The sequence below is a fragment of the Homo sapiens genome, chromosome 11, assembly GCF_000001405.40.
Source record: "Homo sapiens chromosome 11, GRCh38.p14 Primary Assembly".
In the NCBI taxonomy this organism is placed as follows: Eukaryota; Metazoa; Chordata; class Mammalia; order Primates; family Hominidae; genus Homo; species Homo sapiens.
In genome coordinates this window covers 69,474,471-69,502,115 of record NC_000011.10, presented here as the reverse complement: position 1 = coordinate 69,502,115, position 27,645 = coordinate 69,474,471, and the positions used below count along the sequence as shown (strand labels likewise).

The following is a 27,645-nucleotide window of genomic DNA, read 5'->3' as shown; positions in this document are numbered from 1 at the left end:
CCATGGACAGGCAGGCCATGGGGGGACGCTGAAGCCTCCTGGTGAGGGCCATTCTGGTGCCGAGTGTGCCTCTGGGTGGCAAAGCCGGCCTCATGTCAGGGAAGGAGCCTCTGCTGGGTGGTGGGGCTGGACAGCCAAGTTGGGCGGTCACGTCCACGGCCGGCCCGAGGGGTTGGAAGGAGCTCTCTATTCAGCAGGTCACCTCAGCGCTGGGCTTCCTTCTATGGCCACTTGTATGTGATTGTGATTATTTTTCATTGGCAAAATAAAATCCATGCTAGAAAAATCCCCAGGATTCTGGTGCTTTCCACATTTGCAGGGGATTTTGGCATGCCTGGGCACGCACCTGTCTTGTTTTGGCGACCCCAGGTGCCCATGCTGCCAACATCACTTGGGGGCCAGTGGGTTCTTATGACATCTTCACCATCCCCACTCCGCCCCATTACCAATGACCTGGGCTTGGCAGGTCACTGGAGATCCCCTTGTTCATCAAAGGGAGGACACAGCCTGAGTAGAGTGTAAAGAGTTTCCGCCCAACCCCACCCTCCCAAACCCAACAAACCCATCCGTCTACCCACATCTACTCCTCCAGCCCTCCTTTCCTCCATCCACCCATTCTTCCTTCCATCTTCCTCCTTTCAGCCCTCCCCACTCCTTTTCCTCTCTCCCTCCCTCCCTTCCTCCCTCTCTCTTCTATCCATCTCTCCCTTCATTCACCAATCCTCCAGCCCTTCCTCAACTACCCATTTTTCTATCTTTCCATCCTTCCTTCCATCCTTTCATGCATATCTAACCTCCCTCCCTCCCTCTCTTCCTTCCTTTCTTCCTTCTTCATGCCTTACTTCCCCCCTCTCTCCTTTCCATCTCTCCATTTCTGGACACATTTCCTAACTATTTTTTCACTCGTCTATCTTTCTCTCCTTCCTTATTTCCCTCCATGCATCTGCTCTCCCTCCCTCCTTCCTCCCCCTCCCTCCTTTCTTTCCATCCAGCAGGTGCTGGCTGAGCACCAGGCGGTGTCAGACCCTGGGGTGCTGAGATGATTCAGACCCAGCCTTGGCCTCGATTTGCCCACAGTCTACTTGGACAGACAGACGAGGCAATGTGGACTTTCCCTGCAGGGTGATGCCTGCCTGGGTGACATGGAGCCCAGAGGAGGGGTGCCTGGCCCAGGTTTGGGTGAGGAGGAACACCCCACTCCGAGGGAAGGGGATGAGCAGGAGCCGGTGGGCGGCCGGGAGTGGAAGTGTGACCCATCTCCAGCAGAGCAAACAGGTTGAACCATGGGTGGGAAGCAAGAGGGGTGCATGGGTGGACTGGTTGGAGCAAAGGTCAGAGGCAGGGCCAGGAGGGTGGGCTGTGAGGCTGGACACACCTAGGAGAGATAAGGAGGTGCAGGTGCCTTGACACACACGTGTGCAGGAAGTAGGGGCCTGGCCCACAAAGACACCGTGCCCCCTGCACCTGCTGTCTGGCCAGTTTGCACAAATGCATGCACTGCTCAGGCTCTGTGTGGGGCTGCTCAGGGTCTGGGGCAGGTGCAGAGTGGAAGCGAGAATGCAGCGCTCTGGGGCGCCAGGTGCCTGCCTGAACTTCCTGGCTCCAAGCAGTTCCCTGCCTGCCAGGCTGGAGGATTTGTCTTCTGGGGCTGCACAGATGGAGCCTCCTAGACTGCAGGGAGGACAGGTCCCTGTACTGGTGCAAGGACTCAGTGCCTGTGAGCTGTGTGGCCTCGGGGCAGCCCCTTCCCTCTTAGGGGACCTGTTTTGGCCCACTGGACACTATGATTGAAAGCACAGGTTCCAGCTTGCAGGTTTAAGTCCTGGCAATGACCTTGGGCAAATGGTTTGCCCCTCTGGTCCTCAGCGCCCTGCCCTGCCAAGTGGGGCAGCAGCCCCTGCTGTGTGAGAGCCTGCATGCTGGTGGCAGCAGCTGGACCCTAAGCAGGCTTCAGCCCTGGACACTGCAAATTGTTCCCTTGAGCTTCCATCACAGTGCTGCCGGAGGCGCGGGAAGGCAACATGGTGTGTTGTAACACGCTGCCTGGTGGGAGCGTCTCTGCTAGGCCTCGAGGGCCCTCCTTTGAGGTTGGCCAGGAAGGGGCAGGAGAGAGGAGAGCTGGGGCCAGCAAAGCAGGCTCAGAGACGCCTCCAGATTCGGTCTGAGTTGAAAGGGCTCTGGTCGCAGTGTGGAGCAGGTGTGCCCTACATTGCAAATCCCACTGGGTCTTCTCATTGCCCCACAGCAGCCCCAAGAAGCAGGTGGTGTCGCTCACTCAAGCCCTGGAGTCAGGAAGGGACAGAACAGGGACTCGCCCAGTCTCTGCAGGTTCCCGCCAATGCACTCCTACCTCCTGCTTGCACTTACTCCTCATGATGAAGTCTGTACAGTTCCAACCACTGTGTGGGTTACAGCAAAGAGGCTTCTCTGAGTAGACAGAGTGAAAGGGGTGGGCTGGTCTCATGGTCAGGGCTGCCGCTGGCTGGGCACCTGCTGCGTGTCCCAGGGTGAGCTGGATTCTTAACCATTCGGCTTTACACACCTTCCACTTTAGAACAGTTGCAGCTTCACGGAGAAGTTACGGACACAGCAAGAGCTCCCGCGTGCCCCACACCCAGCTTCCCCTACTGTGAACATCTAATATTAGTAGGGTGTGCTTGTCAGAGTTAACGAACTCATGTCAATGCATTCTTGTTAATTAAGGTCTGTAGTTTGTTTGGCTTTCCCACAATACCCTTTTCTGTCCCAGAGCCCCATCCAGGGCCCCACGTGACACTGGGTCACCCCATTTCCTGAGACTCCCTGGGCTGCGGCAGCTTCTCTCTTTGCTTGCTTGTGACATCCTCACCAGTTTTGAGGACTGGTTTTGAGGATTTCACAGAATGCCCTTTAGTTGATCTCATAGTTGGACTGGGTTATGGGGTTTGGGAAGGAAGACCCCAGAGGGAAAACACCCTTCTCATCACACCTGCCGCTGGCAGGTGCTGAAGGCATGACTTATCTCTGTGGTCCCCTTTCTACTGAGGAAGGAGGTACAGCAGCTCACAGAGGTGACAAGCCTGGAGGAGGCGGAGTGGGCCTCATCACCCAGGGATGTATCTAGGGCTCGCTATCCCCCTGCCTATACCTGCACTTGCATATACCTGTACCTGCACCCGCATATACCTGTACCTGCACCCGTCCACCTATACCTGCACCTCTCCACCTGTACCTGCACCTCTCCACCTGTACCTGCACCTCTCCACCTATATCTGCACCCCTCCACCTATACCTGCACCCCTCCACCTGAACCTGCACCCTTCTACCTGTACCTGCACCCCTTCACCTGTACCTGCACCCCTCCACCTATACTCACATTTGTACATACCTATACCTCCATCCCTCCACCTACCCACACTTGCACATACCTTCACCTGCACCCCTCCACCTACACCCGCACCCCTCCACCTATACCTGCAGTCCTCCACCTATACCTACACCCCTCCGCCTATACCTGCACCCCTCCACCTGTACCTGCACCCCTTCACTTATACCTGCACCCCTCCACCTACACCTGCACCCCTCCACCTACACATGCACCCCTCCACCTATACCTGCACCTCTCCACCTACACTTGCACCCCTCCACCTATACCCACACCCATCCGCCTATACCTGCAGTCCTCCACCTATACCTGCACCCCTCCACCTATACCTGCACCCCTCTGCCTATACCTGCACCCCTTCACCTATACCTGCAACCCTTCACCTATACCTGCACCCTTCCACCTACACATGCACCCCTCCGCCTATACCTGCACCTCTCCACCTACACTTGCACCCCTCCACCTATACCCACACCCCTCCGCCTATACCTGCAGTCCTCCACCTATACCTACACCCCTCCGCCTATACCTGCACCCCTCCACCTGTACCTGCACCCCTTCACCTATACCTGCACCCCTCCACCTATACATGCACCCCTCCACCTATACCTGCACCCCTCCACCTATACCTGCACCCCTCCACCTATACCTGCACCCCTTCACCTATACCTGCACCCCTTCACCTATACCTGCACCCCTCCACCTACACATGCACCCCTCCGCCTATACCTGCACCCCTCCACCTACACTTGCACCCCTCCACCTATACCCACACCCCTCCACCTATACCTGCAGTCCTCCACCTATACCTCCACCCCTCCACCTATACCTGCACCCCTCTGCCTATACCTGCACCCCTCCGCCTATACCTGCAACTTGCACATGCCCATACCTGCACCTCTGCACCTGGACCTGAACTGCCTATACCTATACCAGCATTTTCATCAGGACCCTTTGGAGTTGAGGCTCTGAGTCCTGATGCCCAGGTCTCAGGCACTGAGGGGTATCAATTGGCCCCAGACAGTAAATGCAGCCTGCTTCCAGGGGCAGACATCCACCCCAACCCCACTCTGGCTGGCGTTCCTGCACAGAGGCTGCTGCAGTGCCCTGTGTGTGGGGAAGGGTGCGCCTCCCCTGTGGTCTCCTTTCTGGGGGCCGGCCCCCGCCCCCACCCCATCCCACCACAGAGCCTGATATCTGGGGGTGAGGTCATCGTTATTTATGTGATGGCCCTGCTGCCCGGTGGTGTTTGCACACAAAGGCCCCGCTCTGGGACTGTGCCATGCGGGCCGGCATTCCAGCACATTCCTGCAGCCCGCAGCCCAGCCCTGGACAATAGCTCGCCCTCTCTCCTTTGCCGGGCCGGCCTCTGTGAACAGAGCACTGTTGACAGCCGAGGCTGCTCTCACTCCCGAAGAATTCCAAAAATGGAACAATGTACGCCCGGCCTGGGACTCTCAGGCAGCTGCTCAGAGCAGGGCCCTGGAAGGCTGCGGTCTGGAACTGCCTGTGTAGCTGTCCTTTTGGCCGGCATTTCAATGGGAACCTGGGGCAGGGCGGGGCGGGGGGGCGGGTGGGCGCCACGAGAAGAGAGGAAATAGAAAACACCCAAACCAACCTGGAAGCAAGCCAGCACTTCCCTGGCCGCACAATCCCCGTGGTGAGGAGGCTGAGATGGTGGGCTCAAGCACACTGTGCTGGCCAAGTCTATGCAGGCACTGACCTTTGCCCAAGACCTGTGAGTGGTTCCCCAGCTCCTAGATCAGCTCCTGCCTCAGACAAGTAAATGGGGGTGGCAAGGCAGGAGTGACACATTTGAGCAGTGGGGGAATGAGGGAGAACGAGAGCCGGGACCCCTGCATCCTGGTCCAGGGCTCAGGCCACTGCTGCCTCCCAAAGATCTGTCCTCAGCCCAGGTGGGGACCACCCTGCTCCTGAGTACAGTGCCCCCCTGCATTGCAGTCTCAGGACAACTTCTGAAAGCCTGCTGTGGCTGGAGGAATGACCACACCTGGACGTCCACAGCCACTTGTCCCAGGATTTCTCTATCCTGCAATGCGGCCGGATAATTCTCTGCTGTGGGGACTGTCCTGGGCCCTGTAGGGTATTTAGCAGCATCTCTGGCCTCTGCCCTCCAGATGCCAGTACCAAGCCCCTTCAGTTGTCCCCACAACTGTCTCTCTGTTGGGGGCAGAAAGAAAAGAGAGGGAAGAGAGAACATCCAAACCACCCTCAAAGCAAGGTAGAGCTCCCCTGAGTGCATGGTGCTCGTCAACTCAGGAAAGCACGGATAATGCTGCCGGAAGTTGGTTCTGCAGCTGGCGAGGTGGCCACCCGGGACAAGGATGGCTCTGGCGCCATGCCCGTCTTGGACTAGAAGGAAAAGACAGAAGGACGAGTCTGCCTGTGAGTGATACCAACACGGGAAAGCAGAGCTAGAGAAGGAGGGATGGAGACCCCAAGTTCCGATGACAGACTCCTGGAACCAGCTATGCCTGAAGCTCTTCTACATCAATTAACCCTCTCCTTTTGGCTGTAACCAGTTTAAATTGGTGTTCTGTCGCTTGTAGCTGAAATTTTCTGCACAACCCACCTTCTTCACCCGATGGCACGCTGCTGTCTCTTCCCAGCCAATCTTGGTCAGGAGAAACATTCACTGTTGCTGCAGGGGGCTTGGGCTGTCATGGCCTCCCAAACCCAGCTGAGCTTGCTGCATATTGTTAAAGCCCTGCGGGTGGAGGAGAGCAAGGCATCCCGTGCCCCTCAAAGTCTGCCACCAGCACGGTCATCCCAGCTGCCCCACCTGCCCCAGGAGCTCCTGTCATCAAGCCCTGCCTCCTCTTTTCTTCCCGGAGCTCACATCATCCCCAGGAGGTACTTAGGACCAGGGATCTCAGGCCTGGTGCAGAGGTGAGGACAGAGGTGTAGGAGCTGGGACTCGGCCCCACACCCTTCAAGTTCCCAGTTGTGAACGTCTGGGCCCTGGGATCAGCAAAGCCAGCCTCCCCTCCCGGCCATGTGTTTATGCTGGACATGAATGGAGCCCCTGGAGGCCAGGAAGGGTGAGGCCTCCAAAGCCCTGGGGAAGATCCTGGTAGGGGGACAACCCCAGGCTGGATGGGCTTTGAATTATCCAGGTGGCACCAGAACCTCAGAGGCCTCTTTCACAGGCGGGAATGATGTGGCAAAGCCCAGCTGGCCCCAAGTGGCTTCACATATTCCACAGGGAGCAGGGACCCACTCACTTCCCAGCAGCCCCTGTGTGTGTGTGTGTGTGTGTGTGCATGCGTGTGTGCACCTGCACACCCATGTGTGTGAGTGTGTGAGTATCTAGCAGGGGCTGGTGAGGTGAGGGCAGCTTCTTCCACCTTCCGGGCTCTGGGTGGGTGTCCTGATTCATCTTTGTCCTTGCCCTCCTCACTTAAGACCTGCTATCCTGGTGCATGGCTTCTTCCAGCCCCAGGGCTTTGTGGCAACTTCCCACTGGTCAGAATCATACATTGAAAAATCTTCCTAGAAGCACCGGGGGGTTGGGTGGCCTTTCCCTACCAGGTCTCCAGAGGTTCCAGCCCCTCTGGTTCCTGTCCATGCTTTCCTGCTGGAGGTGGGGACTCTGGGGAAGCCACCTACTCCTCATGCAGCTCTTCCAGGAGTGCAGCGGCTGCTGTGGCCAATTGTGCCCACAAGCCTGCCAGCCTCAATCTTACTGGCCAGTTGTCAAAGCCCAGATCCCAGGTCTCACCATGTTTTCCTCTGAGAGGGCCCTCACTGTCCGGGACCACCTGCCATGCAGCAGGCACTTGAGTCCAGGATTTGGGCCTCTCTGGCAGGGCTGCTCCCCTGTTGCCGCAAGTGCTGCATTTTGAGGAGTCATTTCCACGCCCCCGGCATAGTCACGAAAAGCCCCTTGGGTTTGCCCTGAAAGCCCAGGTTGTGGTTGAGGGTCTTTCTGTGCATCTGGCAACCACATAGCCCTGTGCCTATGCCCTGCAGAAAGGCTGGCTTCTCCGCCTCCTTGTCTCCTCTGTGGGGGGTGGGCCTGGCCCTGTCATGCCAGAGAGGAATATCGGTGAAGCTGCCGGATGGCGTCACCGCGGGAAGAACAATTGGATGATGACAATCGAAGGAAGGTGAAAGATCTTGTCCCAGTCTTCCTGTTTTTGTGCACAGTTGACTCAGATGGGCACTGATAACGCGGCTGAGGGCTGGTCCTGCAGCAGGGCTGGGGTGGCTCTGGCTCTATGCCCATCTGTGCCATCTCCTGCTTCTTCCTGTGCAGAGCAGGGGTCAGATGGCAAAGCCTTCATGGCTCAGGTGTGGCTGGGGGCACCTGGAGGTCCTGAGATGGGGAGCAGGGATAGAGATGAAAGGTTCTCACGCCCTGCCCTCGGGCTGCCCCTCGTGGTGATGGCAAGCAGGTGACGGCAGCAGCAGGAGAGCAGTGCCCTCTGCCAAGGGAAGAGCTGCCCAGGCCTAGAGTCCCAGGATGTAGCAGTGCCCAGTCTTCTCGCAGAGCAGAACACATCCCTGTCAGGTCTTCCTGGCCTCTGCTTAGACCTGGCGGGGGAGGCGATGTGTCAGGGAAGGATTTCTTGAGATGTCCTAGCCGCCCTAGTCCCCACGCTGCTGGACAGCTCACCTTCCAGAAAGCTCTCCCACCCCCTGGAGTCATGCCGCCCCAGGGGCCCCAAGGCCACCGAACTCTGCCTCCTTCCAAACTTCCTTTGATGGTCGAAGCGCCCCCTCCACACGCCATGAACACAGTGCGTGAGCCAGGTTTTCGGCATGTTTTCGTCGCTTTCTTCATAACTGCCCAAACTTGGAAGCAACCCAGGTGCCCTTCACAAAGCGGATGATAAATAAACTGCGGTACGTCCAGATAGCGGAATATTATTATTCAGTGCTAAGGAGAAATGAGCTCTTAAGTCGCTGAAAGACAGGAAGAGTAACTACACATTACTCAGTGAAAGAAGCCGATCTGAAAAGGCTACAAGCTGTATGACTCCAACCCTGTGACATACGGAAAAGGCAAAACTGTGGAGACAGGAAAGGATCAGTGGTTGCCAGGGGCTGGGGGAGGTAAGGAGTGAGTGGATGGAGGACGGAGGACATTGGGGGCAGTGAAGCTATTCTGCGTGATACTGTAATGGCGGATATATGTCATTATACATTTATCCAAAGCCACAGAATCACCACACCAACAGTGACTGCTTATGTCACCTACTGACTTTATAATAATGGGTCAATATTGGTTCCTCAATTGTAACAAATGTACCACAAGATGCAAGATGTTAGTCACAGAGGAAACTGTGTGTGTGTTTGGGAAGGTGGGATATGGGAATTCTGCACTTTCTGTTCAGTTTTGCAGTGAACCTAAAACTGCTCTAAGGAATCATCTAATCATTGATTAAAAAAGAAAAAAGGAATTTGCGTGCACCACACGCCAGCTTCGAATCCTCAACAGATTTCATCACCGACAGCAGTGTTCCTTAGGCTGATCTGATGCAGATCCTTTGAAAAGATTCCCGTGGGTTCCTGGTGTTGGTTAAAATGCCTTTTATTCCAGTGCTTTGGAAATAGTGCAGACACAAAACTAGGGTAGGCTCCTAGGCTGACAGCTCTAATACAGCCCCAGACCCAAACCAAGCTGACAAATCTCACACAGAGCTGCAAAAGCAAGGCGATGCCTGTGGACAGCATCAATGTGGTGAGTGACATCTTGCTGGGTCCAAGGTGCTGTCTGTGTGGCAGGTGAGGGACTGACGGACGGCTTGGGTGCCATTTCTTTGACGTGGGGCATTCAGTGCCACCCCAGCCACTTTCTCTTTTTTCAGCCTGGGAATCTTCCCTGAGATTGCGATGCCAGTGGGCCTTCCTGGGTGGATGCGTCTTTCATCTCCATGCTGCGTTCTCATCCCAGCTCACAACCCACAGCATTCCAGGAGGCTTCAGTGTGAGCTCAGAGGTCAGCAGGTCCTCTTTAACCCCCGTACAGTTTCCTATGGCTGCTGTGACAAATACCACAATTGCAGTGGCTTAAAACAGCACACGTGTTATCTCACGGTTCTGGAGGTCGGGAATCGGACACGGTGTCACCGTTCTGCAGTCGAGGTGGCAGCGGGGCTGGGTTCTGCTGGAGGCTCCGGGAAGAGGCCTTGCCCTTTCTGGCTTCCAGAGGCCGCCCATGCTCCTTGGCTCATAGGTCCTCCTCCATCTCAAGCCAACAGCACGTCCCTCCGACCTCTGCTTCTATCCTCACATCTGCTCGGCTCCCCCTGCCTCCTCCTCCACTTATAAGCACCCTTGTGATGATGCTGGGCCCGCCAGACAGTCCAGGGCCATCTCCTCCTCTCAGGGTCCTTAACCTTCATGCCTGCAAAGTCCCCTTTGTGGTGGAGGTCTCACTGTCAAGGGTGACGGGTTAGGATGGGGCATCTTTGCGGGAGGCACGATTCTGCCGACCGCAGCATCCCTCTTTCCCTCATTTCACATCCACTCAGTTCAGAACCCTGCTGGCTCTACCCCGCCATCACCACTGGGGCTGAAGCCACATCATGTCTCCCTGGAGGACTACCCCAACTCCTCGTTGGCCTCCTGGCTTCCATCGTGGTCTCTCTCCAGTCTCTTCTCATCCCAGCAGCCAGGCGGTTCCTGGGAAAATGTGAGACCAAGCCTCCCATTAGTTCCTGTCTTCAAGGAAAATCAAAATCCTTCCAGTGGCCGATGAGGTCCAAACCCATCTGCCCATCCTCCCAGTTCCCTCTGCTCCACCCCACGGGCCTCTGTGCCCTCCTGCCTCGGGGCCTTTGCACTGGCCGCTCCCGCCTCCTGGGCTGCCTTGCCCTGTACCTCCGTAATCCCTGTCCACTGTGCTCCAAATGTCCCCGCTCTACTCTGCATCACTTGCGACTTCTAGCAGACCCCAACGCCCTCTTGCTCCCGATCTCCTTGCCTGTCTCACCACGCTGAAGCAGCGCCATGGGGCAGGGGTTCTGCCTGCTGAGTTTGCTGATAGAGCAGGGCCTGGCTGGAGTGGGCGCTCCACACAGATTGGTGCGGCACATGCAGGAATGGGTGAGAGGAGGCTGGCAGAGGCTTCAATGGAGGAGGAAGATACAGAACACAGGGCTAGCATATCCACCGGGTCTTCATACCAAGGGCCCAGGGCTGGTTCAGGCAGAGCAGGAGACCACAGCCCAGCTCCTCGGGAGGTCAGAATCGTCTCTCTCCTCCCTCACCCCACAGCTTCCCATAGGCTAACTCCATTACCAAACAGCCTTTTGGAGCAAACTATTCATTGATTCACTTACTAAGCAAATGTTGACCAGGTCTGGTCAAGGATGTGTGGATGCTGGGATAAGCAAGGTCCTTCCAGAAGGTCCAAGTTCATGGTGGGGATGCAGGACGGGATGGTCGTGGCTGCACTGACCGAGCACCTGCTGTTCCAAGCACGTTCCAGGTGTCAGCTCTTTATCCTCCCCCTGGAGCCTGCAAAGCTCAACCTGGCCATCTACTCCTTCATGCTGTGTCCCTGCTCCCACACCTTCACCTCACCACTGAGCCCTGCCAGCTCGCCTCTCCCACTGGCCACCTCAACCCTCCCCATCACAGGGTGTGTTTTGCAGTCTCCTTGTTTGTTTCTTCCACCAAACTGGGGGCTCTTGGAGGTCAAGGCCTGGGGTCTTCGATGTCTTCATGTCTCCAGCAGCTGGCGCACAGCAGGCCCTCAGAAAAAGTGGATAAAAAAGAAACGATGGCTGGCTGGCTGCATAATGAGTTGATAAATGAATGAATTCCAGGGGGAGGTCTTGCTTGGGCAGAGTCGCAGGGGTAAGTGAGGAGGGGGCGGTGGAGGGGCAGGGGCAGGCCCTTGCTCTGAGCCTGAGGAGGGGTGCAGAGTCTGGAAAGGGAGGTGGGGCTAAGCAATGATACTGCTGCACTGCTGAGCGCCTGCTGTGCCGGGGTCTACCACTGGACTTTCCCAATGACACTGTCAACTGGGGACCAGCGACTCCCACCAGGCCGAAAGTATAACCCTAGGATGTGGTAGAACTGGGCTTTGACACGAAGGCCTCAAAGGCCTGCCTGAGACGTCTGGACTCTGTCTGCAGGCTGTGCTCTCAGAGGGCACATAGGGGCCCCCCTGCCTTGGGAAGCAGCTTTTGAGCCCGCCTCAGGGACCCCACCTCACCTGCGCTCGGGATCTCTCTGCTCTCACCTGCTTCCATTGTTTTAATGCTTCCAGATGAGTTTGTATCTGGAAGAAAACAAGGATTCATCGGTGAATTGTATTTCTAGCTGCTGCAGGCACTGGGGAGCCATAGGAGGTTTCAGAGTCAAGAAGAACTGGATGAAAGGCGGTCCCTGTCACTCTTGGAAGCCATTGACTTTTCAGGTTCTTTGTCTTCACAGCACTGACTGTTGGCTGTGTACGCCCCAGATCCCACGCCTCCGCAGTCCTGCCAGCCTTACCGCTCTACCCTACAGAGACTGCAGCTTCGGACAAAAGCCCATTCGGCGGAACAGGGCTGACTAGGGATGGGCCTCTTGCCCCAGATGTGCCTGGGATGATGGTGGGACAGCTTCACTCCAACCCTGGGGCCTGGACCAAATCTCCAAGGAGCATGTGTGAGGGGCTGGGGCACTTCTCCTTGGCTGGGGTGTTGAGGGACCAAGGGCTCCTCCAACAAAACTCCAGGCCCCTTTCTGACCTATGCTGTGGTGGAGCATCTCCTTGGGGAAGAATTGTCAGACACTCCAGGGTGCAGGAGCTGACTCAGGTGCATGAGGTCCTGGCTGGGACCTGGGATTGGCACCCCCACCCCTGGGGCTGGAACCACTCACCCAGCCTGACCCTGGAAGCTTACCCTCCTCACCCGCTGAGAGTGTCGGGATGGGGCTACAGAGGGCAAGGTGGAAGGCCAAATCCAGCCTGCCAGCCCCTGGGAGGCTCGGCCACGGGGGTTCTCTGTGAGGACAGCCACCCTCTTTCTTGACTGTGGTCACAGAAGCCTGATGCATTGGATTGTGCCTTTTTGATTTTGCAAATGAGACCTGCCCCTGTCCCTGCGGGGGAGCCTACGGCCTATGGACGCCTCTCGGCCCTTGGAGCACCCGCTACCGGTGCATGGGAGTCCGCAGCCCGCCTGCAGCAGGAGCACGTTCCCACTGCCCCAGGCTATTCTTAACAAGCCAAGCCTCCGGCTCCAGGGCTAAAAATACCACATGGGAGGCCTGTGGGAAAGCTGCTGCTGGCTATTTTAGTGATTTCGCGCTGGAGGTTTGGGGTCCCTGCATGCTGCCAGGGCAGGGAGGACACTGCGGCCTGCACTGCCCAGGCCCCCTCTCAGCCCATGTTGGGGCTCCTCTGTGTCAGGGGTCCTCAGAGCCCAACGGCAGCAGCCTCTGGTGTCCAGGGAGGCAGAAGGAAAGACCTGGGAGTCTTGAGCTCCCTCATTTCAGTTTCGGAGAAACCAGCTCCAAGTGGGGAGCAGGTGCCCGGGGTCACAGTGTGGTCTGCGGTGGAGAGACCAGAGGGCGTCTGGGGTCTCGGTGTGGTCTGCGGTGGGGAGACCCCTGGACTGCTCCCTGACATGTGATGCCTGGTCCAGCTCCCCCCAATCCGAGGGGCGTTTGGGGGCCACAGCCGTGGTGTGCAGGTTCTGAATGGGCTTCTTAGACCAAGGCATAGCTTCCCATTACCTTTCTGAAGCCTTATCTACACACTTTCTTTCCCATGAGCCTTTTCTTCCTTGATTTCCCATCATCTCTCCCACAGTTTGGCAGGTGTGGCAGAGGTGGCTTTGGCCCCACTGTGGGAATGCAAAACCAAGGCTCAGGAAGGAGAGACGCGTGTCAAGGCTACGGCTGTGCAGGGCTGGGCCAGGCTGGCCTCACCCTCCCAAGCCTGGGCGTCTTGGTGGTGCCCCCGGCACTCAAATCGGCCCTTTGCTGCCGGTTCCCCATGCCCAGGGCCCCGTGCCATGCTGGTGACTGATGGCCATTGTGTTCTCAGACTGGAAGGCCTGGCTCCTGGGCAGCCACTGTGTGTCTGCACCCATGAGCTGTGTGTCCCTGCGACGGGGCTCTGATGGGCAAGCATGGTGATCGCCCCCGACAGGCGGCACAACGTTCCATTGTGTGGGGCCCACCCCGGGCCGGTCCATTAACTGCCCCTGCCCAGCAGGGCCTTCTCCAGGGTTTGACAAAGGCGCCTTTTCTGTACCCTCCTGTTGCCGTGGGAGAGGCCTGGGTCTGGTGCCCACCTCGGGGGCTCAGAGGAGCAGCTGGGGTGGCGGGAGGGGGCCCAAGCCTGCTTCCCAATGCTGCCTGCTGCAGACCGAAAAGGCCAGACCTGGGCGTCAAAACGGCTCCGTTGCTCGTTGGCCAGAAACCCTGGGCAGTCGGTCAACCTGTCTGGGCCTTGCTGTGTCTCCCTCTTACCCTGGTCCAGGGGTCCAGGCCAGTTCTCGCATGAGATCCAGACTCAGGCATGTGGTGAGTGGCTGTGCTCAGGGAAGCCCCCCATGGCCTGAAGGACAGAGGCCTGGGATGCATCATGATGTTCTTTTGTGGCAGTGACAGAGGCAGGATGGAAGGCCCCACTGCCGGGCCCACTAGGGTGGGACCAGGCCAGGGGAGAGGAGGTTCGAGGCCTGTGCCGTGCATGCAGGATTATCAGGGTTGAGGGGTGGCATGAGACCCTCTTCCTGCCACTGGGCTGGGGCTGGAGTCCTGGCCCAGAAGGCCAAAGGGCCTTGGCCAAATTCCCTCCATCCATGTCTGTGCCTCAGTTTCCTCCTCTGCAGAATAGAGATCTCTAAGGCGGCTCCCATCTTGACCCGTGTAGGGACCTGGGAGGACAAGGGACAAAGAGGCACAGCCGGTTACCAGGCTATCACTGTGGGGAAGCAGATGGGGATGTCAGGGTAGGAGGCATCTGACAAGATTCCCTTTGGACAAGATTTCTGCCTGAGCCAGGACCTGCCTCCAGGACCTCAGACAGCACCACCTGGACTCAGGAGTGTCTCGGGGGCCTCCACAAGAGACACCCACCCACACCTGCCTGGGGAGCACCCTGCTGTGCCACACTGGTCCCCTTAAAACTAGAAATTCCACGACCCACAAGAAATCAGCCACAGGGAGGCCCAGCGCCATGACCGACGGGGAACAGGACCCCAAGGGGACCACCAGGGCCAGCACACGTGGACACCACACGGCCCCTTCCTGAGGACAGGGCGGAGGCCAAACCTAGCTCCCCGTCAGTCCTTACTCAGGCCCTGCCTTGTGAGGACCTCAGAACATCATCCCCCAACTCACAGATGAGAAAATGGGCCACAGAGAGGGTGAGCGTCATGGCAGACAGGATTTCCACCCTTGTTCCCGCGAGTGATTTTTCGAGGGCCCTGGTGGCCTGCAGCCCTCACGGGGCTCCCTCTCCTTCCCATGCCGTCCCACCCTGTCCAGCTGGCTCTCCTGGGCTTTCCAGGCCCCTCTCTCCTCCCATCCTCCGCTCTCCTCCTCCCTCCCGCTACTCTCTTCTGTGCCAGCTCCAAGCACCGCACCCAAGCCTTGGGGACACAGTGTGGCCTCCAGCATTCCTGCCCTGTTTTCATTTAGGGGACACCCCCAAAATACTCCGCCTGCGGGAGGCGGCAGCCGCCCCAGGCCACCTGGGAATGCGCTTGCAAGCCTTGGCTGGGCCGCGCTGGCAGGGGCAGGGAATGCAGAGGCGGCAGAGTAGGAGGGGCCAGGACCCCCCAGCACGGCTTTTCGGGTTAACGCGAAAGAGGAGGCCGTGCAGCTCTGGGCCCGGAGGGGACCTCAGGAATGTGGTGGTTCAGAGCTGACATCCACATTTCCCTGTCTGCCTGGATCCAGTTCGGGGACAGTGGGGCAGGGCCAGGAGCAGGGCCAGCAACACAGCCAGGCAGCCGTCCTGGGGCTGGCTGGGAGTTCAAAGCCCTGCCACAGAGCCCCAGCCCTGCCACCCATCGCGGGGGCTTATGGAGCTCCTCAGATGGGCTGGGCCTTCCTGGAAGATGACCCCTGGGACTGGGAGAGGCTCCTCCCCTGTCCCCATAGGCTGTCCCCTCTCTCCTCATCCTCAGTCTCTGAGCAGAAGGCACCTCCCTCAGGAAGACCCCCCAGGACAGCGAGGGGAGGGCGACTGCTCCTCCAGCTTCCCTGGCCCTGCGTGTCTTCTCTGGAGCAAGCTCAGTTCTGAGCGTTCCTGGGCCCACGGGCCCCTTGCGGCAGAGACACGGCTTTTGCGCCTTCACCTGGTTTTGGAATCACAAGCCAAGCTCAGGCAACACCTGGGGAGATGAACCTGGAGGCCCCAGTGGGCAGGTGGACCTCGTGGTGCTGACCAAACTCTAGCCAAGTTTCGAGGCCCGGTTCTCAGATGCTCCCCCAGATGGCCCACAGCTAGCTAATATCTAGGGCTGAGATGGTCCGAGTGGGGCAGGGCACAGACCCCTCCACGGGCAGGATTTCTTCCCAAAGCTGTGCCATCCCTCAAGTCCCTGGGGATGCTAGTGACAGTGCAGACCCCAGGCCCGGCAGTGGGGCTGCAGTGACCCACAGTTATCATGGAAACTCCATACCTGAGGTAAGAGCTTGGACCTTGTCCTGGGAGGTCCCGGGCTGCATCACTCTGGGCCTCAGTTTCCCCTTCTGTCATGCAGGAAGACATCGCTGTCCTGCCTGTCTGTGGTTAAGAAAGGGTCCCCATTTGAGATGCCTCCAGGATCTCAGACAGCACCACCCTGACACAAGAGTGCCTAGGGGGCCTCGGCGAGAGGTACTCACCGCACACCTGCCTGGCAGGCTCCCTGCTGCAGCTAAGGATGCAGCAGAGGCTAAACAAGGGGGTCCTGCTACCTCGCCCCTGCAGGCAGGACCACGGGAGCCCTGGCGGAGCACCTGAACTGGGCCTCCTGGCTTCAGGAAGCAGAGTGGCAGCAGAAGGCCTGGAGGAGAACCCCATTGGCCCTGTCGTCTGCCCACAGATGCTGTACTTGCCTCCTGACCTCAAATATTGGCTAGGGCAGGCAGAGGGGTCAGCATTGCTGGCCAGGCAGCAGGCGCCAGTCAGTCTGCTGCTGAGTGACACAGACAATGTCCTGGCTGGGGCCAGCCCCATCCCCCACCTGTGCTCCCCTTGCCAGACAAAAGGCACCTCTGCAGCAAGCCAGAGCCTATGGCCAATGCCTGCTCTTCTAGCTCACGCCCCCAAGAGAGGGTCCCACCTCATCCGCAGTGTTGCCTGCGCCTAGGCAGGCACCTGGGGCTAGGGGTGGAGCTTCCCCTGGTTCTTCTGGTGTCTGGGACAAATATTTGTTGAATGAATGTTAAGTCCAGTGAGGTCAGTGGCATCATCAACCCTGACTCCAAGAACTCCTGAGCCCCCAGCACATTTATTCTCCCCTCCAGCTGACCTCGACTGAGAGGGGATGAGAAGACCTTGGAACCTTAAGGGTCTGGGTCCAACTCCTGGCTCCATCATGTTCCTGGGGGAAAACCCTTTGCCTCTCCTACTCTCTGGATCCTCATCTGTGGCCTGGGCACTACATCACCCAATTGCTAGGAGGTCAAGTAAGATTTAGCCTGCAAAGCACCTGACCTGGAGGATCTGGCCATGAACTCCACCCCGCCCCCCACTTCCCATACGCAGTGACATGCTGAGCTCAGGACAAGGTGTGGGGTGAGTGGTGGTGGCGGGGGGTTGGGTGGTTCAGAGATTTTAGCACAGCCCACTTGTGTCAAACTACTGGTCAGCAGTAGCAGATAAGACCAGGACACAAACCATTGTAAATCACATGCACTAGAAGATTCTCTGCCTTCAGAGAAAACAAAGGAGCCAGTGAAGACTCTGGTGCTGTGGACGGCTTCAGGGAGGAGGTGACCTGCAGACGGTCCTGAGCCCAGGGTTTGACCCAGCAGGAGGAGGACAATGCAAAGCACAGACTGAAGACGAGGCCCCAGGAGTGCAGGGAACCTGCCCACGGCCACCCATCGCTGATTGCTGCCCAACAGCAGGGCTCAGCAGCTGCGTGGGCCAGCGCGACACAGGGCCGGCCCACTTGGCAGAGTCAGAGGGGTGTCCTCTTCTCCTTCCAGAAACTGCTGGGCCTTTTCTAGTGCCTGAAACATTCCCGTTTCACACTAGAGGTCCTTAAAAGCTGTGCCTTTGTGAGGTGTCCTTTGTGAAAACACCTCTGTAAGTGTCCTTGGGAGGCAGGGGAGTCACCTGAAGTTGTGACATCTCAGGGCTCCCTTGGGACATCATTCAACAAGGATGTGCAGAAGGCAACACCCTTCTGGAGGTGGACAAGAAGCAGGTGCATGGGGCTCTGGGCCCACAGCAGGGGTGCAGGCCCAGTGGCCATTAGAAGACCCTCCTGCCAGGTTCTGTGTGTACTCATGCCGGGACTGTCCCTCCCTTCTCCCACAGAGCCTCTGTGTCCTCTCACCGGGCAGCGCTGACTCTCCTTCTCCCATGACCTCCTGTCTGGAGGCCATGCCCTGGCCTGTCTGTTTCTTGGCTGAGTGTTCTGAGGTCGCTCTCTATCTCGAAGCTGCAGAACGCAGGTTCTAAGGAGTGAGGGGGCACCCCAAGAGCACCCTCCCTTCCCTGGAGCTGACACAGGGCTCACAGCAGGTACCTAGGGCCCTAGTTCCCCTTTACTTCGCAGCTGGGAACCTGAGGCCTGGAGAGCGGGAGCTGCCCGTGTGAGGTCGTGGAGTGAGTCGGGCATCACCCAGAGCCCCAGCCCGCCTGCCCCTGCGGGGCCCTTGGCTCGGCTGCCTTAGACAAAGGCTCTTCTTTGAAGCGCCTGAGACAGAGCCCCTGGTTTCCGGCCCCAGCCCACCGGGAGGCACCCGCCTCGGCAGCTGTCTTCATTTGCTGCCCGCCAGCCGGGCCGGCCCGGGCCTTGGTTTATTGTCAGCTTCCTTGCCAGAAATATGCTCCAACAAATGCTGTAAACAAAAGGGACAATTGCAGACCATCACGCCTGCATTTCTCTCTCATATGCATAAAATGGGGTGCGGCTGGGGCTGCCTGGCCAGCAGCCTCTGCTAAGCAAAAGCCCCCTCTGGACGTGGGCCTGACCACAGCAGCCTCTTCCCCTCCTCTGAGCCCACAGCCCTCTGAGCCCGGGTCACAGACAAGTCCCGACGCTGTTCTACCTTCAGCCTACCCATGGAGATGGTTTCTTCATTTATTTAGCAAACACTGACCTAGTGCTTGCTAGGGGTCAGCACTGTTCCAATATCCCATGAATGTCCCTCATTTTATCCTCATAAAAACCTATGAGGTAGGGCATATCATGATCCTACTTTATAGAGAAGGAACCTGAAGTCCAGAGAGGTTAAATAAGAGGCCCAAAGACACACAGCTGATAAGTGGAGGAAGTGGAATTCCACCCCAGGCTCCACCTGTAGGCTCCAGAGTGTAAGTCCTGACCAGAGAGAAGTTTGGGAAGAGGGGTCCATGGGGCAGAGGACTCGGAGTCCTGATGAAAGAAAGAAGGGGACTCCAGACCGTGGAAAAGCAGATGGCTGCCCTCCCTTGCACAGACCTGCTCTGGGTAGCATTGCTGGGACTCTGGGAAGTCATGAGTACCCACACTCTCTCCTTCCACGGACCTCAGAAGTATCTGTGATAGCTTAACTGTTATGGGCTGAATCACATCCCCCCACAATTCGTATGTTGAAGTCTTAACTCCCAGGACCCCGGAATGTAACATTATTTGGATACAGGATCTTTACAGATGTAATCAAATTAAAAGGAGGTCACCAGGGTGGGTCCTCATTCAATATGACTGGCATCCTCATAAGATTAGGATACGGACCCACATAGAGGAACAACCCTGTGAAAATGTGAGGAGAAGATGCTGTCTACGAGCCAAGGAAAGAGACTGCAGAAGAACCAGCCCTGCCACACCTTGATCTCAGACGTCTAGCCTCCAGGACGGTGAAAGAAGAAACATCTGTTTGTAAGCAGTCCAGTCTGCAGAACTTTCTGGTATGACAAACTATATAAATCAATCAATGTAACTTTCTTCTCTCTCTTCCTTTCTTCCATCCATTCATCCATCCATCTATCCATCCATCCATCCATTTACCCATCCATCCACTCATCCATTCATCCACCTACTCATCCATCCACCTACTCATCCATCCACCTACTCATCCATCCACTCATCATCCATCCATTCATCCATCCGTCCATCCACTCATCCATTCATGCACTCATCCATCTATCCATGCATGCATCCATCCATCCATTCATCCATCCACTCGTCCATCCATCCACTCATCCATCCATCCATTCATCCATCCATCTACTTGATATTGTTTGGTTGTGTCCCCACTCACATCTCACCTTAAATTGTAATAATCCCCATGTGTCCAGGGCAGGGCCAGATGGAGATAATTGAATCATGGGGGCGGTTTACCCCATACTGTTCTCATGGTAGTGAATGAGTCTCATGAGATCTGATGGTTTTATAAATGGGAGTTCCCCTGCACATGCTCTCTTGCCTGCCTCCATGTAAGATGTGCCTTTGCTTCTCTTTTGCCTTCTGCCATGATTGTGAGGCCTCCCCAGCCATGTGGAACTGTGAGTCCATTAAACCTCTTTCCTTCATAAATTATGCAGTCTCAGGTATGTCTTTGTTAGCAGCATGAGAATAGACTAATACACCACTCACTCATCCATCCATCCATCCATCCATCTGTCCGTCCATCCACTCATCCATCCATCCACCCATTCAATCATCCATCCATCCATCTACTCATCTATCCATCCATCCACTCATCCAACCATCCACTCATCCATCCATCCACCCATTCAATCATCCACCCGTCCATCTACTCATCCATCCATCCATCCATCCATTCACCCACCTCCCTCCCTATTTAAAGGGCTTACGATCTCAAAGCTGTTAGAGACCTTACTTGCTGGATGGAGCCTGGTCTAGCCCTTCCTCTGTAGGGATCTCCTGCAGGTGTCCTCAGGGCAGGTGTCCTCTCTGTGAGCCACTCTGTTTGCAGATGCTCAGGCTGCCCTCTGCCCCACAGAGCTCTTCCCTCTTGCCTTGGGGTGTTCGTTGGGCTTGGCTCCTCCCCATGGGATGGCACTTGTCACAGGGAAGGAGCTCCAGTGTCTATGGCTGCCCCCAGCCTCCGCATTCCCAGAGGGCTGCATGGGCCTCTATGTGAGGACCTGATTCAGGGAAGGTCTTTTGCCACAGTGAGCTGCATCAGCCTGGACTGTCAGAGAAGCCCTGTTGGAGTGACTGCTGGGTTCGAGGGGGTGAGTGGGAGGTCTGGCTCCTTTTGCCTGGGAGACCTGAAGTTGGCTGGACTCTGGACCTTTCAGGGCCCCTGCCACTTGCCCAGAGTGTATCTGAGGTCCCAGGGTGTGGCCTGAGAGATTCTGGTGGGGACCCCTGAACTGAGTGAGGGCAGCCATCACAAGCCCCATTCTAATGGTGGCAGAGTATGGACTCTGATGTGTGGACCGCTAGATCGGCTGAGTGGCACAGCCTCCTGGTGCCTCCTCATGTGTCAAGTGGGGATCTAGTAACACTGGCTGCCCCAGTGGCTGCTCTGACGGAAGGAGGGAAGCTGGTCCTGGGCTTGTAGCTGTGCTTGGTGTAAACATGCTGTCTGCAGCATTGCCAGCACAGCCCCACCTCAGCCCCATGCCCAGCACACTGTAGGTGCCTGGCACCTGTTACACAGTTGCTAGCGGGCTGTGCACTCAGGCCTGGCTCTGTCCCTGGGCTAGGTGGTGCTGGGGTGATCCAAGGGTTCCTTGGGAATCCTGAGGATTCCAGGGAACCTTGGGAATCGAAGAGGCCTGTGCTACCTCACACTGTCCTCCTCACACGGCGTTGTCTGCAGGCCCTTGGCAACTCCTGACCTCTCCGAAACTCTTCCACATGATGAGGTCAGCAGGGACCCTGCCGGCATTCCATCCAAGCTACTGATCCCGCCCAGTGCCGGCTCAGTGCCAGAGTCCTCACTGTGGTGACCTGAACACTTTGTTTCACGATTCATAGCAGGGAAGAGGAGTTGAGTCCGGATGATGATGTCTGCAGACATTTCCTAACTGTTTCACAGAGAAGAGGGTTGAGGAGTGCAGACTCTGCCTCAGCTCCATCCTGAGGGTGGGACTATCAGGTGAAGGGAAGCTCTCAGAGGACTTCTCAATTTCCCAAGACTCAGAGAAGAGGATACAAAGGGTCTGAGAGCCCTCCAGCCCTGTCTGAGCAATTTTTTTTCCAGCATGCCAAGGGGACGACAACATTGACTCTGGTCAGGGTTCTGGGTGCCCGTGACGTCTGCAGCCGCACACCCAGGGGCCCCCAGCTCCTCTCCACGCCAGCACAGACTCCTGGGAACTCTCCCTGGGAAGCTGACGGGGTCCTGGGATGTGCTCAGGGTCAGGCCTGCAGAAGGGCCCTAGCCAGTGTTGGGAACCGGCTGCTGGCTCCGGCCTGGGCTCACTGTGTGGCCCAGGCTCGCCATGTCACCCTGCCTTCCCCTGGGAGAGAGGAGGCCAAGGCAGCCAGGGAACGCCTCTTTGTCTTGGTGCCCAGGGCTGTCAGATAAAGCCGTTGAGCCAGCCGCAACTGGGGCATCCAGACTGCTTTTCCAGCCACGCCAGGCCTCGCCCCACTGTCCCGTTTGCCCAAAGGGGGCTGATGAGTTTAGTAATGTTTACTGAGCACCCGCCCGCCTTGTGGAGCTGACAGCCAGGGAGACGAGTCGGCTGCAGACTTTGCCCTCACAGGCAAGACAGCCACACCTTGAACTCTGACTCAAGGAAGAGAGTGGGCAGCTCACCAGAGAGGCCAGAGGAGGCGGCAGGAAGGTGGGGTCTCTCCAGCCAGGGGCTTCCTGAAAGAGCTGCCTTCTGAGCAGGCCCCCCAGGCTAGGAAGATGTGCACCTGCCGAGCTGGGCAGGAGAGGGTGGCCCAGTGGAGGACCCAGCATGGGCAGAGGTTTGGAGGTGGCAGGTCCTGAGGGAAGCGGAAGGTGAGTGTGCGTTCTGGGGAAGATAAGGCTGCGTGCAGAGGCCGAGAGTGCAAGCCAAGAGGCTGGAGGCTGTGACCCTCAGGCTCCAGGCAGCCAGGCAAGGAGGAGAGGAGAAGATGCCACACTAGAGAAGCTGGCCCACTCCACCCCTTTGTCTTCTCCTCACCTGCAGCACCCTTCTCTCATCCCAAATGTGCACAACAGGGCGTTTTTCTGCTCATGAGAATAATACCTGTTGATTGCAAAAGCAATCAGAAAACAGAGAAGAGTTAGGGCACCGCAGGCAACCTCAGCAGAGACCATCAGAGCTCACATGCTGACACTGAGATGTGGTTCCTTCTGGTCTTTTTTATGTTCTTCCACATATATACCACCCACTTGTTTTTTCTTTTCTCTCTCTCTCCTCTCTCTCTCTCTCTTTTTTTTTTTTTTTTTTTTTTTGAGACAGAGTCTCACTTTGTCACCCAGGCTGGAGGGCAGTGGCGCGATCTTGGCTCACTGCAACCTCCGCCTCCTGGGTTCAAGGGATTCTCCTGCCTCAGCCTCCCGAGTAGCTGGGATTGCAGGTGCCCGCCATTATGCCCGTCAATTTTTTGTATTTTTAGTAGAGACAGGGTTTCATCACATTGGCCAGGCTAGTCTCGAACTCCTGACCTCAAGTTATACACCGGCTTCAGCCTCCCAAAGTGCTGGGATTACAGGCGTGAGCCACCGCACCTGGCCCACACTTGTTTTTTCTAAGTCACATCAGAGTGTTGTTTTGTAACTTTATATTTTCATGTAAAAACTTATTATGATATCTTGCCATCTGATTGCTGGTTTCTTTTTTTGAGACAGAGTCTCGCTCTGTCACCCAGGCTAGAGTGCAGTGGCACAATCTCGGCTCGCTGCAGCCTCCAACTCCTGGGTTCAAGTGATTCTCCTGCCTCGACTCCTGGGTTTAAGCCATTCTCCTGCCTCAACCTGCTGAGTAGCTGGAATTACAGGTGCTCACCACCACACCAGGCTAATTTTTGTGTTTTTTGGTAGAAACATGTTGACCAGGTTGGTCTTAAACTCCTGACCCCAGGGTGATCCTCCCCACCTCAGCCTCCCAAAGTGCTGGGATTACAGGCATGAGCCACCTCGCCCAGCCTAATTGCTATTTTTTAGGAACATATTCCTTTGTGAAATATTAAAACACATCCATCTGGGGAGAGAAGACGCCAGCCCAGCCCTGAGCAGAGGTGTGAGTGAGGAAAGACAGGAGCAGGCGGTCAGGGTGCAGGAGGCAGGTCCCCAGGGACTTGCAGAGGCTTGGGCTCAGCACAGGGGTGGAGGCGGGGGTGCAAGTCCTCCCCAGGGGTGGGGACTCCGATCCCTCTCGGTACCTGTGCAGGGAGTCAGCAGGACGGAGGACCAAGCAGCAACTTTCCAGCCTCCACTCCGTTGTTGGGCTGTTCCCTACTCCTGTCTTACTGCCCCACACGGCTTACCCTCGTCCTCTGGGAGCCTCCATTTTTCTGATCATTCTATCCACTAAGGGGTCCCCCAGCAATATCCTGCCTCACCCCCGGTCTGTTTTCTATGGAGCAGCGGCATGACCTGCAGCCATTTTGTTATTCATTTGTTAGCAGCCCCTCTCGGACCCACGGAGAAAGAACTTGCACCCATTTTGTCCAGGGCAGTGCCTGGCACGAAGCAGACAGGTGCTTGTCAGACAGGTATTGAATGAACTGTTCCTCGCCCCATCCCCACCACAGGGGCCACGGGCTCAGAAGGGCCCTGCACATGGTTGGATGCTCTGATCGTCCTGGAAGGAGGGTCTTGCATTTTCATCTTGCATTTTCGTCTTGCACAGGGCTCCACGAATCTCGTAGCTGCCCTGCTGTTCCCACATCCTGCCCCTTAAAAAGTCCTGGGCAGGAACCCTCCTATCCCAGGCTGTGGCAGCTTGGGGCTCATTCTTTTCCTGAGCCCAGTTTCGCCCTGCAGGGTGCAGGGTGCTGGCTATGAGTCCTTCTGCCCCACCGCACCTCAGCCAGGTGAGGACAGGGTGAGGGTCTTCATCCCTTCAACCTTGACCTCTGCTCCTCCCCACAGGCAGCCAGGTTGTGACAGCCTGTGAGGACCTCTTGGCTCCCGGAGCCTTCTCTCTCCTGGAATAGAGATGACACCGTGCTGCCATTGAACTCAACCCGAAAAAATGATCTGTTGCAAAGCTCACAGGAAATAATGGAGCAATGTTACACGATAAACTGTAAAGTGTGGTGAGCATGTGAACAAGCGTCCAGGACCCAGCGAAGCCCCAGGCTACTGGGCTAGGCGTCAGATGAGAAGAGGCAGAGGGCAACCTCCTGTAGGATCTGAGGCCTTCATGTGCTCAGCCCATGGCTGTCGTCACGGTGACGTGTGCATGCGATGTATCTGGGCCATCCTTGTTCTTGAACGCGGGCAGTGAGTCCCACGGTGATGTGGCATGTCACGAGCTGAAGGAGGGGCACCTGCATTCAGGCTTGCGAACCAGCGAGACAGCCTTTGGACCTTTCGGAGCCTCACTTTCCCACACTAAGAATTGGAGTGGAATTCCCAAGGTGCTGGAGGTTGAAAGGCATTGAGAATCTAAAACGCTTTGCAGACAGCAAGACCCTCTGTGTAAGTTAAGAATGCTCACTCAGTCCCAGCAGGTACTCAGAGGGATCCTTTTATTTCTCCAGAACATTCTGCAGGTGAGCTGGGGAAGCCCACTGGCCCTGGCCTCACCCCCGAGCCCGAGCCTTCAGCCTGGGAATGGTCTGGCCTCTTCCTTGCTGGCTCTCCAGCCTGGCCTCGCAGGACCCTGGGCGGGACCCCAGGAACCCTCACCCGCTATGTGCTTCCCCAAGAAGCGCTCCCTGTGGCCTAATTTGAGAAAACAATGGGCCTCAATCCATATTAATGACCCTAGAGGGACCCTTTGTCCTCGGTGCACAGGCTGTAATCAGCGGGGCTCCGGGGGCTCTGGCCTAATTTGGAGGGACAGGTTTTATCATCACCCTTGATTCGGGTGACCCAATCTGACAGGCCCACGACCCCCTGTATGCGGGGTCCACGTCAGAGATGGGCTTCCTCCCAGCGGCCCACCCCAGCGGGCTGGGGAGAGGGAAGGGGGAGGTGGTGGCCATGGGGGAAGTTCGGGGTGAAGAAGGGGTCACAGCCAGACCCCCACTTGGATGGGCCTGTGATCGGGTTCTCGGGAGGAGCAGGATATTGATTAGATCAGTGAATGGTGTGGAGGCAGCTCTCCCCAGGCACGTGCTCCCGACCACCCACCAGCAAGCGTCTGTTGCCTGCCGGTGCCAGGGCTGGGTGGGGACTCTGGGACAGGCCGGCTGCCTAGGAGGGGCCAGGCAGGAGCCAAGGGGCTGGCTCCAGGGACTGCCAGGAGGGCCCCAGGGAAGGGGAGCCGGGAAGCGTTTTGGCTGCCTCCGGCGTGAAGTCGTGGAAACGTGTTTGCAGGTTAGGGCCGTGGCATCCTCGTTGCACCATTTGAGCGCCTATGGGGTGCCAGATACATGACAAAGGGCCACCTCATTTAATGCTTCCCTCAACCTTCCCAGGCCCCGATCCCCATGTTCTGGGTCAGGAGGCCCATTCGAGGTCAAGGGGTGGGCGAAGGCTGACGAGACAAACCCAGGGACTAGCTCCTGAGTCCCAAAACCTGTCCTCACCCACCCAGGGGTCCCCTGCACGCTCTCCAGGGTGTGCGGTGCGTGGCTGCTGGGTTTGGGTGCATTAGAGCCTGAGGCAAGGGCTTGAGTCTGAATTCTCGCTACGGACCAAATGTGTGCGTCCTCCCTAAATACATATGTTGAAGCCTTAACTCCCAATGTGATGGCATTAGGAGAGGGGACCTGTGGAATGTAGTTGAGTCCTGAGGGTGCGGCCCCGTGATGAAATTAGTGGCCTGATAAGAAGAGGCCCAGAGAACCGGCTCTGTCTCTGCTCTCTGTCGCACGAGGACCCCACAAGAAGACGGCCACCTGCAAACAGCCATTGAATCTGCCAGTGACTTGGTCGTGGAGTTCCAGCCTCCAGAACTGTGAGAAATAAATGTTTGCGATTTAAACCGCACAGTCTGTGGTGTTGTGTTGGCAGTCTGAACTGACGGAGACAGCATCTGATTTGGGAAGCGACCCCGGGAAGCAATGGGAGGGGATGAGGCTGGTTCCAGGGGGCTCGGCTGGGCTCAGGCTCTGGGTCTGCACAAGGCCTCTCTGCTTCCTGGGGTCGGCAGCTGCTGGGCACCTGCTCTCAGCATTGGCTCTGTGCAGGGACAATTCAAACCTCTGTTCCCACCACTGCTGCCCATGGCCCGTTGGCTGGAGCCCAGCCTCTGTGGGGCAGGAGGTGCGCATGTCCAGGTGAGGAACAGCAAAGTCACGCAGCAGAGGGCATGGATCTGGGAGTGGGGAAGGCCTGGGAACCGTGGCACCATCAATCACGCCATCCTCCAGGTTTCCTCACTTGCTTTTGGGACAACCCTGAACTCCTCAAGGAGGCAAGGAAGGCCTCCTTGACCTACCCCTCCCTGGCCACCTCTGGCTGTGCCAACCCGACACGCAGGTTCAGGCTTCTGTCTCCTCCAGAACTGCTACTCTGCTGTGCCCATCCTGCCAAGTCCTGTGTGTGATTTTTGCCCGGGTTCCCTCATCTGTGAAGCCTTCCCGGACCCCACTGTTGGGGCAGAACACCCCTCGTGTGCCCCGAACACCCCTTGGGCCTTCCGCAGAGCTCCTGCGTAGCTTTCCCTCCACCCCCACCTCTGAGGCTTCTTTGTGCTCACCTCACCTGCCGGGTCATGAGCTTTGGGGCTCAGCAAATTCTGCTGGGCCCTGGAGGCAGCAAAGTAAGCAAATTAAATAATAATAAATCATAAACAAGATCACTTAAATAAGGGAATTTACCCTAACATCCCCAAGACCCAGCAAAGCCTCTGGCCCACGGTTGGAGCCCCCTACCCTCCAAAAATCGCGGCATAAACACAGATGAAGGAGATGGGTAGACAATTCCTATTCTGGAGTTTTTGGATCCAGAGGAGAGGCAATCTTTACAAATATGGTCAACCTGTGTCAGCCAAACAGCCTCGAGCCCTGGCCTACTTCCCAGCCCTGTGCTCATCTGGAGGGGGAGACCAGAGTGGGTGAAACATGGTTCCCACCCTAGAGACATTGTTGGAGATGAGACTGTGTTACTGCCAGACAAGG

The 27,645-nt window shown here is 57.1% G+C and overlaps 2 long non-coding RNA genes across 19 annotated transcripts, besides 15 other annotated features; one reads left to right on the top strand and one right to left on the bottom strand.

Annotated features, from left to right (window-relative positions):
• Positions 74-574: an enhancer, noted in NCBI's record as "H3K4me1 hESC enhancer chr11:69316310-69316810 (GRCh37/hg19 assembly coordinates)". NCBI's record gives its function as "activates a minimal SCP1, AML or CMV promoter by ChIP-STARR-seq in naive H9 embryonic stem cells {active_cell/tissue: H9 hESC(naive)}" and the evidence as "EXISTENCE:reporter gene assay evidence [ECO:0000049][PMID:30033119]".
• Positions 1,980-2,514: an enhancer, noted in NCBI's record as "H3K4me1 hESC enhancer chr11:69314370-69314904 (GRCh37/hg19 assembly coordinates)". NCBI's record gives its function as "activates a minimal SCP1, AML or CMV promoter by ChIP-STARR-seq in primed H9 embryonic stem cells {active_cell/tissue: H9 hESC(primed)}" and the evidence as "EXISTENCE:reporter gene assay evidence [ECO:0000049][PMID:30033119]".
• Positions 4,048-4,861: an enhancer, noted in NCBI's record as "H3K4me1 hESC enhancer chr11:69312023-69312836 (GRCh37/hg19 assembly coordinates)". NCBI's record gives its function as "activates a minimal SCP1, AML or CMV promoter by ChIP-STARR-seq in primed H9 embryonic stem cells {active_cell/tissue: H9 hESC(primed)}" and the evidence as "EXISTENCE:reporter gene assay evidence [ECO:0000049][PMID:30033119]".
• Positions 4,048-8,699: a biological region, named in NCBI's record as "VISTA enhancer hs1920".
• Positions 4,350-8,699: an enhancer, noted in NCBI's record as "VISTA enhancer hs1920". NCBI's record gives its function as "enhancer in: heart[9/10]" and the evidence as "EXISTENCE:transgenic organism evidence [ECO:0001131][PMID:17130149]".
• Positions 4,862-5,677: an enhancer, noted in NCBI's record as "H3K4me1 hESC enhancer chr11:69311207-69312022 (GRCh37/hg19 assembly coordinates)". NCBI's record gives its function as "activates a minimal SCP1, AML or CMV promoter by ChIP-STARR-seq in naive H9 embryonic stem cells {active_cell/tissue: H9 hESC(naive)}" and the evidence as "EXISTENCE:reporter gene assay evidence [ECO:0000049][PMID:30033119]".
• Positions 5,857-6,399: an enhancer, noted in NCBI's record as "H3K4me1 hESC enhancer chr11:69310485-69311027 (GRCh37/hg19 assembly coordinates)". NCBI's record gives its function as "activates a minimal SCP1, AML or CMV promoter by ChIP-STARR-seq in naive H9 embryonic stem cells {active_cell/tissue: H9 hESC(naive)}" and the evidence as "EXISTENCE:reporter gene assay evidence [ECO:0000049][PMID:30033119]".
• Positions 8,906-20,453, bottom strand: LINC01488 (long intergenic non-protein coding RNA 1488). Of its 13 annotated transcripts, none has more exons than NR_185870.1 (6): positions 20,333-20,453; positions 15,973-16,076; positions 13,808-14,217; positions 10,675-11,621; positions 10,317-10,459; positions 8,906-10,015 (listed from the first exon to the last, which is right to left on the bottom strand). It is a non-coding gene; the product is annotated as a long intergenic non-protein coding RNA 1488 (long non-coding RNA). The 13 variants fall into 13 exon arrangements; NR_185868.1 differs by having other exon boundaries at positions 10,326-10,459; NR_120542.2 differs by lacking the exon at positions 20,333-20,453 and adding an exon at positions 16,178-16,555.
• Positions 11,814-12,482: an enhancer, noted in NCBI's record as "H3K4me1 hESC enhancer chr11:69304402-69305070 (GRCh37/hg19 assembly coordinates)". NCBI's record gives its function as "activates a minimal SCP1, AML or CMV promoter by ChIP-STARR-seq in primed H9 embryonic stem cells {active_cell/tissue: H9 hESC(primed)}" and the evidence as "EXISTENCE:reporter gene assay evidence [ECO:0000049][PMID:30033119]".
• Positions 16,054-16,592: an enhancer, noted in NCBI's record as "H3K4me1 hESC enhancer chr11:69300292-69300830 (GRCh37/hg19 assembly coordinates)". NCBI's record gives its function as "activates a minimal SCP1, AML or CMV promoter by ChIP-STARR-seq in primed H9 embryonic stem cells {active_cell/tissue: H9 hESC(primed)}" and the evidence as "EXISTENCE:reporter gene assay evidence [ECO:0000049][PMID:30033119]".
• Positions 16,593-17,130: an enhancer, noted in NCBI's record as "H3K4me1 hESC enhancer chr11:69299754-69300291 (GRCh37/hg19 assembly coordinates)". NCBI's record gives its function as "activates a minimal SCP1, AML or CMV promoter by ChIP-STARR-seq in primed H9 embryonic stem cells {active_cell/tissue: H9 hESC(primed)}" and the evidence as "EXISTENCE:reporter gene assay evidence [ECO:0000049][PMID:30033119]".
• Positions 20,454-20,536: 83 nt separating the features above from the next.
• Positions 20,537-26,512, top strand: LINC02747 (long intergenic non-protein coding RNA 2747). 6 transcript variants are annotated; one of them, NR_186004.1, is made up of 3 exons: positions 22,159-22,420; positions 24,034-24,123; positions 24,503-26,512. It is a non-coding gene; the product is annotated as a long intergenic non-protein coding RNA 2747 (long non-coding RNA). The 6 variants fall into 6 exon arrangements; NR_186003.1 differs by lacking the exon at positions 24,034-24,123 and adding an exon at positions 23,258-23,406; NR_184308.1 differs by lacking the exons at positions 22,159-22,420; positions 24,034-24,123 and adding an exon at positions 20,537-20,690.
• Positions 20,653-21,619: an enhancer, noted in NCBI's record as "H3K4me1 hESC enhancer chr11:69295265-69296231 (GRCh37/hg19 assembly coordinates)". NCBI's record gives its function as "activates a minimal SCP1, AML or CMV promoter by ChIP-STARR-seq in naive H9 embryonic stem cells {active_cell/tissue: H9 hESC(naive)}" and the evidence as "EXISTENCE:reporter gene assay evidence [ECO:0000049][PMID:30033119]".
• Positions 24,481-25,165: an enhancer, noted in NCBI's record as "H3K4me1 hESC enhancer chr11:69291719-69292403 (GRCh37/hg19 assembly coordinates)". NCBI's record gives its function as "activates a minimal SCP1, AML or CMV promoter by ChIP-STARR-seq in naive and primed H9 embryonic stem cells {active_cell/tissue: H9 hESC(naive and primed)}" and the evidence as "EXISTENCE:reporter gene assay evidence [ECO:0000049][PMID:30033119]".
• Positions 25,166-25,850: an enhancer, noted in NCBI's record as "OCT4-NANOG-H3K4me1 hESC enhancer chr11:69291034-69291718 (GRCh37/hg19 assembly coordinates)". NCBI's record gives its function as "activates a minimal SCP1, AML or CMV promoter by ChIP-STARR-seq in primed H9 embryonic stem cells {active_cell/tissue: H9 hESC(primed)}" and the evidence as "EXISTENCE:reporter gene assay evidence [ECO:0000049][PMID:30033119]".
• Positions 25,851-26,535: an enhancer, noted in NCBI's record as "OCT4-NANOG-H3K4me1 hESC enhancer chr11:69290349-69291033 (GRCh37/hg19 assembly coordinates)". NCBI's record gives its function as "activates a minimal SCP1, AML or CMV promoter by ChIP-STARR-seq in naive H9 embryonic stem cells {active_cell/tissue: H9 hESC(naive)}" and the evidence as "EXISTENCE:reporter gene assay evidence [ECO:0000049][PMID:30033119]".
• Positions 26,536-27,221: an enhancer, noted in NCBI's record as "H3K4me1 hESC enhancer chr11:69289663-69290348 (GRCh37/hg19 assembly coordinates)". NCBI's record gives its function as "activates a minimal SCP1, AML or CMV promoter by ChIP-STARR-seq in naive and primed H9 embryonic stem cells {active_cell/tissue: H9 hESC(naive and primed)}" and the evidence as "EXISTENCE:reporter gene assay evidence [ECO:0000049][PMID:30033119]".